At 37.6% G+C, this 17,208-nt stretch overlaps 1 protein-coding gene across 4 annotated transcripts in view, besides 1 other annotated feature; it reads right to left on the bottom strand.

Moving 5' to 3' along the window:
* Positions 1 to 17,208, bottom strand: part of MAN1A1 (mannosidase alpha class 1A member 1) — a 173,401-nt gene that overhangs the window by 127,427 nt on the left and 28,766 nt on the right. For all 4 annotated transcript variants that reach the window (XM_005266986.5, NM_005907.4, XM_011535833.3 and 1 more), the window contains one exon: positions 2,265 to 2,361. In XM_005266986.5, coding sequence (XP_005267043.1) covers positions 2,265 to 2,361 — 97 coding nt within the window. The remainder of the gene's footprint in view (positions 1 to 2,264; positions 2,362 to 17,208) is intronic.
* Positions 8,353 to 8,647: a silencer, noted in NCBI's record as "tiled region #13895; HepG2 Repressive non-DNase unmatched - State 14:Gen5'". NCBI's record gives its function as "represses a minimal TATA promoter and a strong SV40 promoter by Sharpr-MPRA in HepG2 cells {active_cell/tissue: HepG2}" and the evidence as "EXISTENCE:reporter gene assay evidence [ECO:0000049][PMID:27701403]".

Here is a 17,208-nt window from a genome sequence, read left to right on the forward strand (position 1 = left end):
TACTCTGTCTAGGAAAAAGATGGATGCTTCAACATAGCTGGTGAGAAACAACCATGAGAAGGAAGCAGACCTGAAGAGCTCCCCAACGGCTAATAACTGGGAAAAGATTCATAATGCCTAATACTTTCTCCAAAAAGGTTGTTTTTAGGGTCAAGACTCAAAATAACTTAGCTCAAACTAAAAACTATTTCCTAAGAAGCCAGGTGGTAAAGAACTTACATTTTCCTATCCTCTCCCTGGTTTGCTGAGCGAATATACGGGACTACATATTACACAGATAAGAAATTTGGCTGAGAAGTGGGCTAAAGAAATCATTTCTCATCCATAAAAATGAAAACTTTGTATGTCTTTGTAACAAGTTCCATTGTATTGGTATTTCTATAATAAGAAAATCATTATGTATCTTATTTTAATTTGAAGATGGAATGAGATTAAATACCATTTGAATTATTAATATTTCATTTCCTTATGCTAATACCTGAAGCTCTTTTTCTAAGAGCAAGTTCTTGATTATGAAAAGTGTTTTTTACCGAAAAAGCCAATGAAAACCAAAAAGCAAACGTCAGGCCTAAGAGACCTAGTATATTTTTAATGTTCAATAACAAATTTTAAAATCATAAATGTTTTAACAGAGAACCAAATAGTCCCTCTGATAAAGATTATGGCAATTTAACACATTAACTGATTTCTTAATGGTACCAAAGACTTTTATAGAGATAAAAGCAAAATGGAGTTATAATTTTTTCAAAAAATGTTGTAATAAACAATGAAAAAATAAAGGCCTCTGGCTCTGCATGAGGTTTCAGAGTTTCTCTCTTCAATTCATACCTCCCCTTACCCATGTTAACTGGTAGCTGGGTCCTAAAAACACTACTTTAGAAGTGTCTGGAATTACTTCTACTGCCTCTACTTCAGGTATAGGTGCTCTTCATCTCAAAACTGTGTCACTCTGATAGACCAACAGTCTCTTTTCTTCTACTTTTCCCAGCTCTTTCTACCTGTTCTTGCAAACCCTGCAATGCCTTTCTCCCAACCTGAGGTCCTACTGGTTCCTCAGAATTTCATGGAAGTATATATTGAACCACCTGGCGCATTGATAAATCACTATTTACATATTATATGCTGTGTACTAGGCAAAGACTTGTGTAAAGACCTGTGCAAAGACTCGTATTATTTTCATTATCACCAGTGCTACAAGTAAAGCCAAACACATGGAAGGTTCTAAATAAATGGAAAAGCAAAATGTCAGAATTAAGAGCATGGACTCTAATGTTAGCCACACCAGGGTTCAAGTCCCAGCTCTGCCAGTTAGTAGGTGGCTATCTCTGGGAAAACTATTCTCTGGGCCTCATTTTTCTCACCTATAAAATGTATATTTTAATGAGGCTAAATAAGATAATGCATGAATGGCACTTGGCACACAGTAAGTGCTCAATAAATGTGTGCTGAAACTGTTATTATGTGAATTGCTATTATTTAACATTTTCAGTTAAAGTATAGAAAGTGTTCTATTGTTGAATTCAGAAGTTCCAGAGTAACACTGTATTCCCTTCATCCTGTTACTTACAGACAAATTTTGAGGATTAGAAAGAAATCAAGTGCAGTAGGAGGATACTGGGCAGCTCTGTGACCCAAAGAATCCATGACACCCTTGTGTTACTTAGCTTCCTTACTTCCACAATGGAATGTTATTAATACCCACACTACCAGTCACAGAGGGCTGCTGTGGGAACCAAATGCAATAAAGCTTGCAAAAGTGGATAAATGGAAGTTCAATTAACCTAATCCATCCTCACTTTCTCTTCCATGGTACAAACAGGAGAAACCTATAGCCAAAATTGAGATACAGTGAAGATCACCATGGCTGGCTGCCTTGCCCAGATTATCTATAAAGGCACAGCTTTTACCTAACAGGAAGCAGTTAGTGCAGCCCACCAAGTGCTTCTATGCTAGGAATCACCCCAGAGGCTAAAATTTATGATACTGCACCCTATAACCATTAAGTGAGAATCTTTAGAAGTATGCCCCAGGCGTCAGTACTCTTTAAAGTTACGCAGGTTATTCCAGCAGGTTATTCGAACACATAGCCACTACTCTAGCTGAAGGACACACTATGCACAATCCTTATCTAATTCCATCAGGTGTGCAAGTTTCCTAACCAAATGGCCTGGAGGGCCATGTTACACAGACTTCTCCACCATCCATAAGCTCAAGCAATTGGGGAGAAGTTATCGTCACTAAGAAACCAAAGCACATCTACTCACCAAACAAACTGCTTGAATGGCCTCCTTTTGATATAGGTTTGAGTTCATTTAATCCCCAGGCATAACCTTTATAATTATTCCAAGCATGTTTCATCATCTGAAAAAAAAAATAAAAACAGGATTATAATTTGAATGGAGATGTTTTTGCTACAAAATAGGTAATATATTGAAGAGCAAAGGCTAAAACATTAAAATTCATTAGTTAAAAGGATGACTAAGTAAAAGAATTATGATTATATAAACCAGAACACACATGCTCATACAAACATGCTGGTACACATACACACTACCCTTTTATGTTTACAAATGGGAAGTTTTCGTTTTTGAGTCCATTTAATCCTATTTAATGCAAATACCATTTTCAAAAGTCAGTTCCCAACAACAGGAATTTAGCTTATCTTAAAAGCATGAACCATGTCTACATTTATCTAGTTCATTTTCATAACAGATTAAATCTGCAAAGACTATCTTTAAAATTTATATTTCTGCACAAAGTTCTTCTTACTTTGTTGGCCTCACAGCATACAGACAAATATTCAGGTTATCCCTTTAAACCACTTTGATGTTTCCTGACGAAGACTATATGGAGAAGTATTTTAAAATATTTACAGGAAATAAAAAATAACACTGTGATTATGCCTAGATTTTGGAAAAACTTGTTTATTTTAATGTAATCAATCTTTAATTGGATACATGTGTGTATATGTATGTAACTGAAGATTGATCCAGTATATTCCTAATTCAGAGTCTACACACCAATAATGGTTTTAAAAGCCAAATCCCTCTGCCATAAATTAGTTGTATAAACTTTTTTCAATGACTCAAAGAACACATATAATTATTTTTGTATGCATATTTTTTAAAAGGATTGGGACTCTTCAACTGTCTAGAACTCAGTAATCAAAATATGGACATAATTGAAAAAGGTTCCAATCAGGCTCCATATTTTAGAGTATCTTAAAGCATCACACAAAGTTATAGATATTATTTACGGGCCATTTACCACTCAAAATCTTCATTGAGATCAGTATCATTTTATTAATAACAAAGTTTTCATATGTTCCTGAACACAACAATCAGCATCTTTAACCAACTTGTAAATTACCTTCCTAACTCACCACTATTACTACCAACAGTTACCAAGAATCAGTACTATCTGCTAAGTACTCTGCTAAATGCTATAACTTTAGTATTGTAACCAATTCTTGCTACAACCCTATGAAATATGTTTTATTACCATTGTTAGGGAGATGAAGAAACTGAGGTTTGGAAGTTAAAAAACAACTTTACTCAGTCACCACATTTTTCCACAGACAAGGTGCCAGGGTTCATCTCCAAGCTAGCCTGACTCCAAAGCCCATGGCATTAACCAACACATTGCATCACCTTCCTTTAATGAGTCAGCAAAAAAAATCTTCCTTTACTGAATCAGATTGTTGATCTTTCAACAATCAAAAGAATGTGTATATGGTAGTGTTTTCAGGATTTTTTTCTTATACATTAATTTTGTTGAGAAGTAAAACAGATTTGAGGGTCACATGACTTGATTTATAATCCCTACAACGCCACTGATGAGTCACATACTTAAGGATGAGTCACAGTTTTTGTGACTCTTATCTGAAAATTTGGGATAATTCCTTACAGGATGCATGTAAGGAATACATGATCGTGGTATATGTTTTTGCACCTTGCATACTGCTTGACAGATGGCAGGTAATCACGTTTATTAAATTTTAAATCTATATTAAAACTAATTAAATTCACATCACAGAAAAATAGAAACCAATGAGCCTCTGAAAGACTAGGTATATAAAAAATCTACAGAACACCTAGAGATTATATTTGATTTTATTTGGTTTTTCCATTAAATGTACTACATTTAGTAAATTCTTCATTCCTGTAAATTTCCAAAGATACTTTATAAATTCAAAAGCTTTTGGAATATACTGAACATCAAAACAGAAAAAAAAGTTACGATAATTTGTTTCAGCTTTGTCAAAAATGATCACTTATACAATGTACCACTAGTAAAGGATCTCCTAAAGTAACCTCTGTAGTATATATTAACTTTTCCTATCTTCTTCCCTCAAGGGAAAAGCTGACACTAATTGGTTAGTTTCCTACATTTCAAAAGTTGCTGACATATTTCTCAAAATGGGTTCCTGATCCCATGGGATTTCTATGAGTTAAAGTTAGAAAAGACGAAAATGATGTGGTCAAAATGCCCTGAACAAAGCACTGGGAGGGGTTTATCCAGCAATTATAAAGAGGAACAGTCATATTGTTAACCAATTCCACCAGCTGATCACTTCTGGAAATGATTTACCACATTAAAGCTAACTGTAAGACATTGTGTGAGTGTGTGTGTACACATGCATAGAATAACTATAAGCTTCAATTTAAAAGTCACATATAAAATCAACTTGTTAACTCAGATTTACGACTTACACAAATATTTGAAACATCAAAAGGCTACCAGCTTTTAATTTTGTAGTATTAAGCCATTACCCAGCTGAGTGGCGATGAGGATAAAGTCATTTAATTTCTCTAGACCCAGTTCTCATGAGCTGGCAGGACAAGGAAGTCACTTCTAAAAGTTAACTACTAACAAGGACAGAATTGATCACCTCTCTTCACAGGCTCCTTAGGTTTCTTTTGTAGTCTTTCATTAACTTAATTAGGGTTCTAAAGCCTGACATTCCACGTAGAAGTAAAATGGGCCCAAATTTCAAATGCAGTAGTGAAACCCTCACAAAAAAAGATAAACTGAAAGCAAGCCAAAGATGTTTTCTTCCTGAATACGTATATTTGCTCCTGGTGAAAGGTAGAGCTGACACGCTGTGTGAAAGGAAACAAAGGACCAAAATTTCATAATTGCAACCCATTATTTTAACCCAGAAAATATTAAATTGGGTATAAGGCATTAAAGAAATAGTATTACTTCCCCTTGACTCCATGCTTATAAGAAAAGATTCTTTGATTTGTACTTTCTTCTTAATTGGCATCAGGGCTCATTAATTAGGCCAGGTCATTTATTGAGTATCTGCTACACTATGAAAAGATTCTAAAGGACTAAAAGGGAAGTATACAGGATGCTGTCTCATTTACTATCTCATTGATAATGTATGGAAACATAAGATACTGCCTGTTTACATACTCAGTAAATGTTTGTGAATATAGAAGAGTAAGAAAACTAATTAAATGTTGTATACAACTCTATTGTTGTTTCTAACAAATTAAGTTTAATGTCCTGATCTAATCAAGCACGCTGAAGAAAGAAATACGTTGGAATTTCCCTAGTATGCATAGACTTCATATCTTGCATATTTATTGCTAGAACTACTCTTAGCAAATACTTCCATTTGCTGAAGTTTTAAACACATAATCTTTAAATTTTTATATTAGACACATCAAAAGTCTTTGAAAATTACATGATTTTTCCAGACAGATCTCAGGAAAACTTTGGGCTTTCATTGCCCTATTTCACTGAAGCCTACAAGTTCAAGTCCCACTTATGGCCTCCTTCTATGGGTTCTTACATAAAATTTCCGTAGTTTGTAGGATGTGATGCTGGCCCAGCTGAATGAACCAGGGCCTGGTGCCCAACTCAAAGGCAGATTGCTGAGAGCTAGCCATGAGCCTCCAACGTGGGGCGCCCTGGTGTGTAGTTCTCACTAATGGATGGGATGAGTCAACCCAACCATCCACTCTACCTAGGGAAGTGTAACTGGGAAACATTCAGAGAGAACCTAGAGGCCAGAGAGTGACACAGAAACAGAGAAGTACAAATACACAGGAGAAAGGGCTGTGAAGCAGTAAAAGCCATGAGAAAGAAGACAAGAAAGGCAAGGAGAAAAAAGTTAAGAGGAGGCTGAGGTACAGATGATTTTGCCACTTGGATGGTTCCCCAGTGGAACTGTGTTAGGCCTGTACAGCAGCTATAGAACTATCAACAATGCTGTGGAGTCCTGAATGTTGGTGAATCATCTTCCCTTTTCCTCTTTGCCTGCTGAGACTGTTTGTTTACTTCCCTATGTGTACTTGTAGAAAAGCTTCTCATTTACTGAGGAGTAAGGCGTAAAAGCGGGTCACGGGCGAACGCATATGAGAAACTGGGTCCATATCTGAGCTCTGCCATCGTCAGTGTGACTCTAAGCAAGGCAATTAATCTCTCTGAGCCCACTTTCTGCACACACAAAATGTGAATAAAAACACCTCACTGGTTGTGGTGATGATTAAATAAAACAAGGCATGTAAAGAGTTTAACATGTTGCCCGACACACATTAAGTGCTCAATGCATTTTAGGCATTATAATTACTTTTATTAAAAACCTAAGAATGTCTGTGATCTTTGCAATCTAAAAGAGCTTCATAATTTTTCCTAGTATAACACATAAATAGGAGGGACAAATATATGTGAAACCAGGCAAACTTACATTGTACACAAGCTCTTTATCAATATATACATTTAAAAATATACACAACTATTTGGTATCCAAAAGATGGAGGAAGAAAGGAAGAGTAGAAAGGTCCTCTCCAGGTGTAAGGCAATGTGGGGTAATCTTTAGCTATGCAGGTTCATACACTAGCTTTCATAAAATCTTAGTTGTGCCAAGGTACTGCTGTGTAGTGGGGGTTTGTTCGAGGGATTTGAGGTTGATCTGGGAAAAAGACAGGACCACAGAGGCAGTTAACACACAACAAGCTTTAATGAGTGGTGCTTTGTACAGGGTTGCATGGGAGGGCATCCAGAGGCTTAGGGTGAGGAGGTCACCATGCAGAAGGGGAGGAGGACAAAGGAACTCCCAAGGGAGAGGTGCATCGGAATGAGGGCTTAGGACTAAGTGATGTCACTTTGCAGCATGATGGAGTAACTCTATTATCAGAAGACCTTGAAGGGCAGTAGCAGCTCGGTGTCTTAAAACCACAAAGCTCTATCTTATCAATGGCCAACAGATGCTAGGTAAGGTTTCACAGAACGTGTAAGGCAGGCTCTAAATGCTAAAAATCTGCTTGTTCGGGCTATTTTTAAAATAATTAGATGTATTAAAAATTAGTTTGGTGTTGGCGGGCTCTTGAATTAACGGGTCTCAGCCTGCAGTGAGGAAATAACCTAGAGACCAACAGACAGAGGCCATGTTTGGCTCACTTATATAACAGTCCGCTGTTTGTCATGAAAGGGAAGAAGTTCTGTGGTCCAGTGATACTCATGTCCCTGCTGTTCTTGGGGACACAAGGGGCTGTGTCTGATTCAGGCAAGGTCTGAGGTGGAAGAGCAATCTAACTCACTGATTGTTAAACCTGAAAGTGATGTGCCATTTCTCTTAAAACTACACTTAGGGTTGATGCTTTGAAAAACAGTGATTTTAAAAGCCTGACAGCAATTTCCATCAAACTTTGCTTAAAATTACTTGGCTGTCATATAAAAGTAACTTCTAGAGCTTTCAGATAAAATATTTTTAGGGTCATTGAATTAACCTTATTTCTTTCAATCTTTGGTGGAACTGGAAAACAGAACGGAGAGACACAGATAAAAAGCAACTTGGGGGAAATTAATTCACAATTTCTCCAAACCTTCACTTATCCATTGGAAGAGAATTTCTCCATGGATCAAGAAAAGACGGCAATCTAACCACCCCTTCCACCGCTTATCTAATGCTATCCCCACCACCTACATTTCCTTATGGGAATGAAGATCTGGAGGGCCAGAAGGACAACTGGGCAGCAAGAGACCTGATACTAAGGCCGGTCTATCACAGCCACATGGCAGAGCAGGTCACAGTGGATAAGCCTGAGGCCAGCTGCCTCAGGGTCTGCCCTTCTACCCCTTAGTTCTCTCATCTTTCAAAAAGAATAACCCATTTTAACAAATGCACCACTGTGGGTTGAGGTGCTGAGACTGCGAGGTTGTGCCTGTGTGGGGACAGGGTGTATATGGGAACTCTCTATACTTTCTGTTCAATTTTGCTACAAGCCTAAAACTGCTCAGAAAATACAGCTTACTAAAAAAGTAAGTATTATCTCCCTTACAGCACAGTGAGGAGATCAGGTGTGACAGGGCACCTGACTAGAAGACACTCAATGAGCCTGGCTGACCTTTATCCACTCACGCCACCTCCTCAGAGTCCTCCTAGGCTTCAGGAGGTTAAACAGATAAGGGAGAACTTAGGAAGGAAGTTCTCCTTCCTTTGATGCTTTGACCTTTAGCTGAACTCAGAGTGGGCAGAGCAATTACGGGAAAGGAAAGAAAAGAGGCTAATGTCACCAAGAGGTGACAGTGCAGAGCCTGATGTGACTCCGCCTTCACAAAGACTGCCTGCCTGGAGTCTACCACAATTACATCTGAAAGTATTTAGCACCCTCTCATGCAACAGGTATCAAGATGCCACCCAAGACAGTCTTAGGAATGATCCTTGTCCTCACATCATTCCTCAGTGAGCGAGGGCCACCTCCAGTCACCTTCTAGCTGTCATCACCCAGTATGTGAAAAAAAGCCCTCTAGCCATGATAGTTTCCAATTTTACCCCATATGAAATTCAAATACTCATTCACATGCTTTGCTCTTTCAAATGCTGAAATAAATGTATCCCCTTCTCTCTTTCCCAAAGGCTGTCAAGGTGTTCTATTTTCAAGATTCTTTACCCCAATGTTACAATGACAATCACTACTTAGTAGCTACGGTTGCGAGGATGAGAATTATAAATGGGAATAAAGCAGTACTGCCAGATTTAGGAAATGGAAATATTACACAGAACCTACTTATACTAAAAAAAAAAAAAGTTGTTTATCTGAAATTCAAATTTAACTGAAAGTGCTATATTTCATCTGGCAACCCTAGGACAATGGGATAGGACACATTCAGTTCCTGGTTCTGAGTCCACTGTCTGCTCTCTGGTTTGTGCCCTGTTCTGTGGTAGGCTCGAAAAAGGGGTCAGAACATTTGAAGGGCCAGACAGGAACAGAACCACCAGGTCTAGGGCAACTAGAAGTGAATGGGAAACGTGACAAAACGAGAGTCAAGCCCCTCACTAAAGCTATTTAAAAAAAAAAAAAAAATCAAAACTACGCTGGCTAAGGGTTAAAAAAAAAAATCCGTGAGCCACAGTTAGCCCACAGCCCAGCAGTTTGCACTGCAACCTCTACTTTACAGGCACGCGTCTAGAACTAACCACTCTGTTTTTAGGTCTGTGGGCATGTGGCTTCCCACCAGCCCTGGTTCCCATAGCTCTGTGAGGAGCTTCTATTCCACTTCTAGCATAGGCTGCCCTTCAGGGCCAGCTTCCCGGACTGCTCTGGTAGCAACATATGTGCTATCTCTTTGCCACAAATTAGCAAAAGTCTTTGAGATCTGAGGTGCATAAAGCATTATGTGTAAGCTTCTCAACAATTCTTTCACTGGATGAGCAGTAGTTTCACATTTTAGAAGTATTATTTTGTTCTACAAATCAAACTGTAGGAGCTGTCGTCATCATGGGTTATGGAGGCCGAGGCTGTAAAGGAGGAAGTGAATTAACTTTGTCAAACAGCTACCACACTGCACTGTGAGGGGAATTTGATATAATTTAACACATCCAATCCTTACAACACCCTCTCTGGGGTATTATTATCCCTGTTTTACATATGAAGCTGAGGCCCAAGGTAGTGTAGAGAAGAGCAAGGCTGGAAACTCTCTCACGCTGATTTTCTCCACTATACACTGAACAGAGCCCTCACTTTTTTGCTGCTTGCAAACCTCAGACAGTCATCTGAGGCCTCTGAGCCCTCCTGCTCCTCCATGCACAGAAGGCAGCTCTATCTGGGGTCTGAGAAGCTGTGGCCAGGCCTGGCACCAAAATGACACATGCCGAATCAGGACTGGGAGCTGGCTCAACTGAAGACCCTCACAGCACCACCTTTCCTTGCCTGCCCTACATCCTTCAATTCTCACAGCCTTCCTCCTCCTCCACTTCGGCTCTCAGCTCCAGCTCTGTACCTAACTTTTCTCCTCCTGCCCTGTATGCTACTGGGGCAGACAAGATGGTGTTGTCCTATTCGACCTGGCCTGTCACTAGATTTATGGAAAACCATGAATTCCTCTCCTCATGCCAAGCTGCTGTCTACAGCTCTGATATTTTCTGAAGTTTACTACCACCACGGGAGCTAATGTGGACCAGCTTCTCTTTCCTCTTTCTGTATTACTCGACTTCTTGTTGCTATGTGTGCAATTCGTTTGTTGCCAGGTACTCGAGGTTGCCTCTTATCTACTGAGTGGAGAATATATATATATGGATGGGGATTTTCTTCAGATTGAGGTGTCCTGAATTCTCCTACAGCCAATTTTAATGTACTTCTAAGTTGGCAGGAGATATATAAAGAAACAGTAATTATTTAATGCTATTGCATGAATTCTAATGTGCCACTGAGCATTAATTCCCCAGTGAAATGAAAGCGTGGTTAGCAATAGCAATTTCTTTAGAAAAAGAGTCAGAATGACTGATAAAGCCAGTTTTAAAAAATGAGAATTCTAGTAATCACTACTTGTAATGGACAGATTGTTCTGTTTCTAAGAAGTATCTCGTTCTCCTAAGGAAAACCCAGTGTTTCCAGTTCTAGCTAAAAAAATTGGATCATATGCATTTAATGGTTCTCTTTTTTTATGGCCAAATTTTGACATTATTTTATAAAAACTCTTGTGCTGTTACCAAATGGCAGAGGGTACAGGGGAAAAGAAAAAGAATAAAGAAATACTTGACCAAAATATAAGTCCATTTCTCTAAAACATTCTAAGGGATTATAATTTAGCAACTCAAAAGTTAGAGGTCAGAAAAGGGCTTATTCATAGGTGAATATCTAGTCCATTCCTTTTTGGAAGGAAGCACTATTGCTGAGAACACTTTCCTTACATAGAACAGTTTGGCATCAGCTTAGGGTCTACCATTTGTAGTTATTTCCTTATCAAAAATATCTGTCTTGTGGTTGATGACTATGGTCTCCAGGCAGAAGCTGTCACTGAGTTCAGAAGTTGTCACTTTGTGTTTAAAGGTTTAACCTCAGGGTTTTTGGTCTGTTTATTCGGCAGATTTTTAATTAACACGGAAACTTTGAATTCATTAGATTAGCTGTGCTAAGACCTCTGTGGTCAATGTGAGGCCAGCAAGTGACCCCTTGCAGGCCTGTGGTGACAGGTGATCTCCCTCACTTGGTCCCCAGGCCAAGATCTTACAGGGCTTTCCCAACATGGGAAGCATCAGCAACTACAGATCTTTAGTGATCAAGAGAAAAAGATATTCATTTTTGTGGGTTTTTTTTTTTTTTTTTTTGAGATGGAGTTTTGCTCTTGTTGCCCAGGCTGGAATGCAGTGGCGCGATCTTGGCTCACTGCAATCTCCACCTCCCGCGTTCAAGCGATTGTCCTGCCTCAGCCTCCTGAGCAGCTGGAATTACAGGTGCCTGGCTAATTTTTGTATTTTTAGTAGAGACGGGGTTTCGCCATGTTAGCCAGGCTGGTCTCGAACTCCTGAGCTCAGGTGATCTGCCCACCTTGGCCTCCCAAAATGCTGGGATTACAGGAGTGAGCCACCATGCCCAGCCAAAAAAAGGTATTCCTTGCTGGGATATCACAGATGCTCCCTTAATATCCTAAGGAGAGCTAAAAAAGTGTGCCATAGAAAACAAATACTATTTTCATGTAATGTCTAATCTCAAAAGTTTTTTTTTAATACTTGTAATAAAAAGGTAAGCCCAAACATTCTAACTCATACATATATCATTCCACAACTTCAAATTTTCACATTTTAATTTTTGCAGCAGTGACAAAATGATTTTTAAAATTGAAATGTGCTATCTTTAAAAGATTTGTTTATAGATTTGTCAACCTTATAAAGACTAAGCTTTTTCTTTTAGATTCCTTTTTTAAACTTTACAAATACTATGAGGTTATCACTAGTATTACTAGTAGTTAATAAAGTTACTAATTATTTAGTGATCGATGAAAATGAATTAGCTTGAATTTCATTAAAATGAGCAAAGTCAGATATAGTTACCTTTTTAAATTACATTTTTTTATTATTATTATTCTTTTTTTTTTTTTTTGAAACAAGCTATCCCTAGAGTCAAGCCCCATTCTTCAGTTAGCAAGAGGAGAATTGTAGGGCACAAGTATTTCCCTTTTATCCTTTCTTTTGTGTGTGTATGTTTTCTAAAACAGACTTTTTTTTAAACAGAAGTTTTAGATGCACAGCAAAACTGAGTGGAAAGTACAAAGTTCCTATATATCCTCTGTACCCCAAAGGCACAACCTCCTCACTATCAACATTACGCACGAGAATCGTACGCTTATTACAACTGATGGACCTACACTGACACATCATTACCACCCAAAGTCCATGATTTACATTAAGGCTCACTCTTAGTGTTGTATATTTCAATGGTTTTGACAATGTATAATGGCATGTATTTACTACCATAGTATCATAGAGTATTTTCACTGCCATGAAAATCCTCTATGTTGTGCTTATTCATCCCTCTCTCCAATCCCCAGTAATTTACTGTCTGCATAGTTTTGTTTCATCCAAAATATAATTGGAATCACAAAATACGTAGCCTTTTATATTGTAGCCATGTTACTTCTTTCACTTAGCAACATGCATTTAAGGTACCTCCATGCCCTTTTATTGCTTGATGGCTCATTTCTTTTTAGTGTTGAATAATATTTCTTTTTAGTGCTGAATAATATTCCATTGTCTGGATATACTGCAGTTTAATTATCCATTTACCTATTGAGGAACATCTTTGTTGCTTCCAAGTTTTGGCAATTATGAATAAAGCTGTTAAAGAAGAGACTTGCACAGTATAAGCATTTCCTTTTTGAATTAAGGCCAGAAATCACTATTTTCTTAATTAAAGGATTATGAATTGTAATTCTGTAAGTTATTATTATTTGAAGGTAGAATTCATAAAAATAGATTGGCCATAAAATGTCACATATTATAGGAAAATTTGTTTTTCCTAAAAAAAAAACAAAAAAAACCTTCTGAAGTAACTGTCCTTAAAATTGTCCATTATTAATAAGTGGAATATCCGTTGTCATCTAGAATCCATGATCTTGTAAGATTCTGAAAGTAATCCTTTCATACTGCTGATAACAGTTTTACAAATTATTATCTGGGCATAACAATAATAAAAATGTATAAAAGGACTTTACTTATGAAATGTAATACTACCAGAAATGCTGGTTCCTAAGGATAATCTTGGAGTAGCAACTAGTGATTCCACAAGACTTAAAATCCATAATTGGTGTGTCCCAAAAATGTATTTTCTTATCATCATCCTTGTCACAGAAATAGCATTTACTGAACACTTACACATCAGGAAGTATGTAAAGCATTTCTCCGCTCATCCCTTACAACAACTCTGCAAGGAAGGTAGTCTCCCCAGAGAGAGTCCCATTGCACAGATGAAGAAATCAAGAGGTAAAGTAATTTTCCCAACATCAGATCTTGGTGGTGGAGGTTGGCTATGAACTCAGATTGAGTCTGAAGCCTAACATATATTACCTTGTACACTGTCCTGAGCCAAATGTGTGACCCATGCAATCTGGGGGAAACTTGGCTTCCAAATAAAGTGTTACTCATGTGCTGTTGATATATATCTTTGTATGTTTCTGTTACTTATCTCATTATTCTGGAAAAATTTACATTATGTTTAAGAGTGAGGCTTTCAGAAACATGACATGCAAAACCAACTTCCAATCTTTCTTTTTTTGAAAACCTTGCAGATACAGGGAAAGCATTAAATGTACTGCTATATTAAAAAAGTGAAAATATGAGTATCTCTTACTTCTGTACCCTGTAGGGAAAAAGTTACCTGACATATACTGAAACAGAACTTTGCTTTACATACATTTTAATAGCTAAAAGTTCTTTCCTTTGAAAGGTATCTGTTCACCTCTACTTGGGCATCCTACACGGGTTCTTTCATCACCATGAGTCTTGGTTTCATTGAGGATTGTATTTCATCACCAAAAGAACACCCTAATAATTTCATTTTGTGTTACTGAAAAGAGACATATTGCTCAATATTACTAGCTTGAATGTCAATAATACTCTAAACATTGCCACTAAATGGCAATATCAGATTTCTCATTAAACACATGCAGAAAAAAAGTACTGAGATATGGATTATTTTTCAAAGCTCTCTTCTATGGTTTCATCTAGACTTCTACATTACTAAGATTATCACTAAAAATGGCAAATGATTATTTTAGACTATATGTGATACAGTACCATCTTTAAGGCAAGCACTAACATCTAATATGCCTGTATCATTACCACCCTAAAATCATATTTTCTATGGACTGAAGATCATCTGAGGTATTTTGTAAGTGATGGCAAATATTTCCTGGGCCTGCAAATGCATTACTCTAACCCTTCTGGTAGGGTTTTAAAATCTGATAGAGCCTGATTTTTTTTCTTCAAAATGGTAAAAATAATAATAATAATAATAATAATAATAATAATCATCATCATCATCATTCATTCTATTGTTGATGGATGGCAAGTGGCCAGCAATAAATATATGCCAGATTCAGCAACCTGTTAAAATAGACTGCATTACTTAATATGAGCTTTGAATGCAATGACTTCCAATTTTCTTCAGCTATTTTATGGCTTAAAAATTGGGCAAAGACCGCCATAAATTTAGGAAGTAAAAGAAATGTCAAGTTTGTCAGCAGAGGTGAAATTGTTTTATTATTCCAAAAGACTACACAAAGCTGCAAAACAATAATAAAAATATGAATATATATTAGACCTACTGCAGATAATATAGATATATTTACCCCACAACCAAACCTCTTTTTCCTTTGCTTCTTGCTGAAACTGACAACTGTAAAAGCCTAATGTTCTTTCCTGGCCTCTTCACAGCTAGAAGTGGCTATTGGTCAAAGTTCCAGCCAATGGGACTTTTGTCAAGGTCAATGGGTATCTTTGCTTTCCCTCTTCCTTCTGCCTTGAAAAAAGGTGTGGCACATGCAGATATGCTGTCGCAGTGGTTGTTCTGCTGTCATAAATGAATTAAAAGCCAGGAGAACTGCAGTGGTATCTTCTTTTTTTTTTTAAGAGACGGAGTCTTGCTGTGTCCCCAGGGTGGAGTGCAGTGGCACAATCTTGGCTCAGTGCAACCTCTGCCTCCTGGGTTCAAGTGATTCTTCTGCTTCAGCCTCCCAAGTGGCTGGGACTACAGGCGCTCACCACCACGCCTGGCTAATTTTTGTATTTTTAGTACAGACGAGGTTTCACTATGTTGGCCAGGCTGGTCTCAGACTCTTTACCTCGTGATCTGCCTGCCTCCGCCTCCCAAAGTGCTGGGATTACAGGCATGAGCCACTGTGCCCGGCCAGTATCTTCTCTTAAGGATGGGTCAGCCAGTTGTGTTTAAAGTTCAAACTAAAGTTTGAACCACCACCAATCACTAAGGCATTTAGCATTTAAGTAGTTATACTCTGGTTGTTTTTTTAAAACTAGAGTGATCAGCTCAAAACTGGGCTATGTACTATTGCCCCAATTTGAGAAAACAGAAGTTTTTCTCTGCAGTATTTTTCATATTATTTGGCAGCTGAAACTACTCTAAAGGTTTGACAGTGACAACTGTGTAATAATAAATAGTATGATTTACCAAAAAAATTACAGTAGCCAAGTCCTCTGATTAAGTTTTAAAGACTGATGTGGGCTTGGGGGAAGGCACAAACGGTTAAAAACAAAAAAAAAAAGAGGTATGTGGTCGGGGTTCCAGGATTCACTCAGAAAACAGCAACATCATGGAATAATTTGAGGAGTTTTTCTCCACTTTCTTTGAAAAAAGTAAAATATTTGACCAAAATCAAATAAATTATTCAAGTAAATATTGTTATCAAAGAAGGCTATATTTCTTGGTATAAACCTCAAATATTAAGGCATCTTCTATAATACAATTTATCTGTAGTGCTAGTAAAAACTGAATTACCCCAATAATTACATACCACTCTGTTAATAACATTAAACAGCTTCAGCTTTGTGAAAAGGGGGTCTTGTTAAAAAATATTTTATAATAGTACTTGCATTAAATACTACGTTTCTAGTCAGCAAAACTGATAATACTATTTGAAATGTTTAATTTTTACCTAATTTTACAGGGTATCATAGCTGAATTACAATTTCTCTTTCTCAAATGTAAAATTTTGGACTCTCAAATATGTATACGTGAAAGAATACAACTTTCTCCCCAAAGTTTTACTGTAACTACATGAAATCTTATTTAAAATAGGTCAGTATACTTGTGATCTTCTACTATCGATTTCCATATAAACTGACTCTCTCACACTGTTTTCTTTTCAATGTTTGAACAATATTAGAATTCCATATCCTTCATTTCTGGAAACAAGACTGTTGTTCCAAACAGAGAAGTATGACCTTCTACCATTGACAGAAAATACCTTCCCAGTACTGAATATAAAATGCTGTCCTTGGCTTAGGACTCTCTAACTTGATTTAAAATATCCTTGTGTAAAATGCTCCTCCAAACCAGAAGGATATTTTACCTTCTACAGGATCCTCTGTCAGGATTTATGAAGGATCTGTCCCTCTCGCCTGCTTCCTTGGTCCTGTCTCAGAAGGTCACCTTCCCAACAACTAACTACTCACCTTTGAATTTTACTGACAAAGAACCAAGGTCCTGAAATCTAGTGGATTGACTACATGGCCTGCAATTTTTTTTTTTTTTTTTTGAGACAGGGTCTTGCTCTGTCTCCCAGGCTGGAGTACAGTGGCACAATCTCAGCTCACCGCAGCCTCAACCTCCTGGGCTCAAGCAATTCTCCTGCCTCAGCCTCCCAAGTAGGTGGGACTACAGGCATGTACCACCATGCCTCGCTAATTTTTAGTATTTTTAGTAGGGACAGGATTTTGACATGTTGGCCAGACTGGTCTTG

The sequence above is a fragment of the Homo sapiens genome, chromosome 6, assembly GCF_000001405.40.
Source record: "Homo sapiens chromosome 6, GRCh38.p14 Primary Assembly".
Taxonomy (NCBI): domain Eukaryota; kingdom Metazoa; phylum Chordata; class Mammalia; order Primates; family Hominidae; genus Homo; species Homo sapiens.